Genomic DNA, 5208 nt, shown 5'->3' on the forward strand with positions numbered 1-5208 from the left:
TTGATGTGGTAGTCCGGGAGAGACACTCTTCTGTTCAAGTTGCATTACCTGGGAGTTTTCCGGGTTTTGACTTTTTTTCTCTCTGAGTGGTGATTTATGTAACAAAATGTAGTTCCATCCATGGGCAGTTTGTCTCTTGAATAGAACCACATCTAATCACTTTTTGCTCTGATTTCAAACAGTGTTGCTGTTTGTTCCTGTTTCTTTTTTACTGAGGCTTATACTAGAATGATTATTCTTATCTTGAGGGCAAAGCTCCCTCTTGTAGATCCACAGAGTCCTTTTTTTAAAACTTTATCATTGAAAGCCAAGCACAGTGGCTCATGTCTGTAATCCCAGCACTTTGGAAGGCTGAGGCAGAAGGATTGCTGGAGCTCAGGAGTTCAAGATCAGTCTGTGCAACATAGTAAGACCCTGTCTCTACAAAAAATTTTTTAAAACAGCTGGGTGTGGTGTTGCACACCTGTAGCCCCAGCTATTCAGGAGGCTGAGGTGGGAGGATTGCTTGAGCCCAAGAGTTAGAGGCTAAATGATCCATGGTCATGTCACTGCACTCCAGCCTAGGTGGAGTGCACCTATGTAGCCACCACTCGGATCAAGATACAGAACATTTCTAGCAACCCACAAGGGTGTCTTCTCTTATAAGGTCAGTGCCCCCTCAAAGTAACCATTATTCTAACCTTTATGACCTTAGGTCAGTTTTGCTGGCTTATAGACTTTATCAGATCCTGATAGAGCCATTTCTTTCGACTCACCTCCACATTCAGTACATATTTACTGGTGGTTTGTCTTGAAAAGATACAAATGCCTGTGTTCCAGGACTCCAGGAGCAGAGGCTGAGCAGCAGGATACAGCTAGCGTGGAGCAGTCCTCCCAGAAGGAGTGTGGGCAACCTGCAGGGTAAGCTGAAGAATTCGTCTTTTAAGACTAAGCTCTCAGTTTTGTCCACCTCATTTAAAAAATAGTTCTTCCAGGCCGGGCGCAGTGGCTCACGCCTGTAATCCTAGTAGTCTGGGAGGCCGAGGCAGGTGGATCACGAGGTTAGATCGAGACCATCCTGGCTAACATGGTGAAACCCCGTCTCTACTAAAAATACAAAAAGAATTAGCCGGGCGTGATGGCGGGCGCCTGTAGTCCCAGCCACTCAGGAGGCTGAGGCAGGAGAAGGGCGTGAACCCAGGAGGCGGAGCTTGCAGTGAGCTGAGATCGCGCCACTGCACTCCAGCCTGGGCGATAGAGCAAGACTCCGTTTCCAAAAAAAAGGTAAAAAATAGTTCTTCCTGATTCACATTGATTTTTGTTTTCTTGCCAAAGTTTTTTAAATGAGAATAGTACAGGCTTGTAAACAAGTAAACAAAAAATATAACAAGAATTATTTAAATAATGGATAATAGTTTCCTATTTGTCCCCCTCACCCCCGCCCAATCTACTCCCTAGAGGTGGTCATTGCTAATAATTTGTTTTTATCTATGCAGACATCTCTCTGCATATAAAGATATAACGTGGTATATATATGAATATGTATACACTTTTTTACATAAAAGGAATAATACTGTACATACTGTTCTGTATTTGGTTTTTCACTTATGTACATCTTTCTGTGCCAATATATGTAGGTGTGCTTCACTTTTTAAATCGCTGCCGCCAATTCTATTGTGTGGATCTACAATATTTTAATGAGTCCTCTATTGATATACATTTGGATTGTTTCCAGAATTTATTTAGTTTAAAAAAGTGAAAACTGGGGCTGGACACAGTGGCTCATGCCTGTAATCCCAACACTTTGGGAGGCTGAGGCAGGAGGATTGCTTGAGCCCAGGAGTTTGAAACCAACCTTGGCAACATAGGGAGACCCTCTCTCTACAAAAATTAAAAGTTAACCAGGCATGGTGGTGCACATCCACAGTCCAAGCTAAGGCGGGAGGATTGCTTGAGCCTGGGAGTTGGAGGATGCAGCAAGCCGTGATTGCCACTGCACTCCAGCCTGGACAGCAAAGTGAGAACCTATCTCAAAAAAAAAAAAAAAAAGGTGAAAATTGATTGTGGTTTATAAGCTCATGCAGCTTATTTTTTAGTTTTAGTTAAGCCAGCTTACTTATTTAAGTAACTTTAGAATTGCTTCTGACAAGTGTCCTTTCATTTTTTTCTAATACTGAGTATGAGAAGAATTTCAAGGGCGCAATTTACAACTTTAAAAACAGAAACTTAATGTCAGTATTTGGTAAAGAATCTCACAAAAGAGTTTTATGTTATGTACCATACAGTGGTGTGGTGGTTGTATTCATTCAACAAGTTCTACAGAAAGCCCCCTGTGGCTCATTTTCTAGCAGTTATTTTGTATACCACAGCTGTATAGAAAATTCTGGGTTTTTTCTTTGAATTGAAGAACTAGCTGATATTATATCTTACATTTGGTTTTTATTTAGGCAAGTCGCTGTTCTTCCGGAAGTTCAGGTGACCCAAAATCCAGCAAATGAACAAGAAAGTGCAGGTATGTGGGTGGGTAAAAGGTTAGAATCAGAGAATATCAATGCTAAAAGGATTATGAGAATCACCCACTTTACCTACTTATTTTCTACATTTAAAAAAAAAAATCTAAGCTCCAAAGAAGTTAAGTGATTTGGCCCACATTGGACTGAAACTTGGCGCACCTGTCTCTCGGTGCAGTGTTCTTCCAGTACATATTGTGTGATCACCTGTCAGCTAAGGACTCAAGACCATACCCATACTCTTCTGCTGTACTGGTTTTACCAGCACTGAGGCTTAAATAGCTAGTAATAACCTGACTTCACTTTTTAGTTGTTACTAAAGAAAACTAAGAACCATTTTTATTAGATAGTCAGATTTTGGTTACAATACCAGATACATCTCCATGGCATTTTCCATCAGTTCTAATGAATTTGATTAGGAAACAAATGGTCACTTCAAGATTAGAGAGTTCTGGGTATAACTCTATTGAGGACAGTTGCTTATTGAAAAACTATCAGATCGTCATACTAGAAATTCTACCACAGAGAGCATAACTTCATGTAAAAAAAAATCTGGTTTTAGTCACCACTTTCTAGCAATGACCTAGGCAAGCTCTTTGAGTCTTGGGTTTGTTATCTATAAATGGGAATAATAAACCAACTGTGGAATGTTGTTAGGCTTAGAGATCATTTATGTAAAGTACTCTACATGTAGTCAGTGCTCAGTGAGCATTTGTTACTGCAACCACTATCTATTTTCTCCCTATTAGAACCTAAAACAGTGGAAGAAGAGGAAAGTAATTTCAGCTCCCCACTGATGCTTTGGCTTCAGCAAGAACAAAAGCGGAAGGAAAGCATTACTGAGAAAAAACCCAAGAAAGGACTTGTTTTTGAAATTTCCAGTGATGATGGCTTTCAGATCTGTGCAGAAAGTATTGAAGGTGAGTGGATTAAATCAGGTTGACCCATCAGCAGAAGCCCTGTTTCAGCTAGAGCTTCATTTTCTGAGTATTAGCACCATTTAGGTGGCTGTTTTATGCTAGATGGTAGGGGGATACCTGGAGGCATCATACATTTTCCTTGTCCTTGAGAAGTTTGTCTTATTGGAGAAATAGCCATATTTTACATGAAAAGTTAATGATACAGATTATGTTTTCAACATTGCACACACCTTAGCGGAGCCCCTGAGAACTCTGCTTCCCCCTCCAGCCTTGTTTTTTGCCATTCCCTCATGCGCCTTCTGTGCCCTTCTCTCTCCCTTGTGTGCCTTCACACGTGCTTTCTCCTCTGCCTGGAGTTCTCTCCCTGCCCTCAATCACCTGGTGAGCTCCAGCTCACCCTTCAAGATCCAGCTCAGACGGTCTTCCCTGACCTTCTGAGGTAGCTAAGCCCTCCCTCTCCCTCCTTTTGAATCTTACATGTTCTTCTCTCATAGCTTACATTTTGTTTTGTCCGTGTTTGTTTACTTTTATCACTCACTCAACAGCGAGCTCTCCATAAGGGCTGGAATTTTATTTTCTTATTCATCTTTGTATCGCAAGCATCTAAGTGTTCATCCACCTTTGAAGGACTAGTAAATGTTCTCTAGGCTGTAAGTACTAGAAGAGTTCAAAGAAGAGAAAGGTCACCATGGGTGAGTTAGGGTTATCAAAAACCCATGAAGATAAATAGAAGATTCTATTAAAGGAGAAAATGGAATTTGGGTTAGGCAAAGAAGAATGCAGGGCTCTCTAGGAAGAAGAAGGGAGGTAAGCAAAGTTAGAAAGGCAGGACTGCATTTGGTGGGTTTAGAGTAGTGTCAGGTGAGATGGCATTGAAATCCATGTGAGGTAATAGTGAAAGAGAAAATTGGGAAGGTGGATAGGGCACAGGTTTTAGAGGGCTTTCAGTGCCAAACCTTGAGGACTTTGAAAACTTGAGGGAGTGAATAGAAGCAGAATTTCAGGAAACATAATGTGATAAGCTCTCTATATGAGACAGATTGAGCATGAACTGGAGATGCTCAAAGACGAGAGTTTACTAATGAGAGTATTGCTAGAGTAGAGATGTCTGGTAATAAAGCCCACATTCGGTGGGAAAAGAAAGGAAAGGAAAGAAGAATGAGTACACTTGGTGGAATATGGAGAGGGGAGAGTCAAAGATGACCCTAAAGATTCAGGCCTGGGTGACTAAAACAAAAGATAATGCATGGAGAACAAAGGAGATAAGTAAGGAGTATGGGGGTTCCACAGAAGACATTGATGTGGAGTGATGTAAGAAATCCATGTGGAAATGCCTAGCAGACAGGAAAAGATCACAGAATCTTGGGTTAGAGCTGGAAGGAACTGTAAGGATTTTCTAGTTCTGCCTCTTAACTTTAAGGAACAGAGAGGTTATGATCTTCCCACAGTCCTGCTTAAATCATTATTACTAGTGCTGTTTTGATTAGGGGTACAGGGAACATAAAAATACCAAACATTCAGGTGTGAGACCCAGACTTCCATCAAGGGATGTGAATGCGTTGGGGATTCAGAGTTCATTTCAGAAGGTCTGACTTTCCTTAGTGCTTCTGTGTCCTCCAACAGAAAGAAGCCCTGCTGGGGAGTGTACCTTTTCGGCTCCTTTCACATGTAATGAACTGACTTAAACTCTAAGAAAAATAACAAAACACTGCTCTAGGAGGGCAAGTGTTCACACTGTAGGGATTCTAAGCAGTGCTTGTGCACATCATTGGTATTAAGAAGGGTTTACGTGCATATTT

At 41.2% G+C, this 5208-nt stretch overlaps 1 protein-coding gene across 9 annotated transcripts in view; it reads left to right on the forward strand.

Annotated features, from left to right (window-relative positions):
• Positions 1-5208, forward strand: part of KMT2A (lysine methyltransferase 2A) — a 90341-nt gene that overhangs the window by 70218 nt on the left and 14915 nt on the right. For all 9 annotated transcript variants that reach the window (XM_011542829.3, NM_001412597.1, XM_011542830.3 and 6 more), the window contains 3 exons: positions 820-900; positions 2427-2491; positions 3239-3409. In XM_011542829.3, coding sequence (XP_011541131.1) covers positions 820-900; positions 2427-2491; positions 3239-3409 — 317 coding nt within the window. The remainder of the gene's footprint in view (positions 1-819; positions 901-2426; positions 2492-3238; positions 3410-5208) is intronic.

The sequence above is a fragment of the Homo sapiens genome, chromosome 11 (genome assembly GCF_000001405.40).
Source record: "Homo sapiens chromosome 11, GRCh38.p14 Primary Assembly".
NCBI classification, from domain to species: Eukaryota; Metazoa; Chordata; class Mammalia; order Primates; family Hominidae; genus Homo; species Homo sapiens.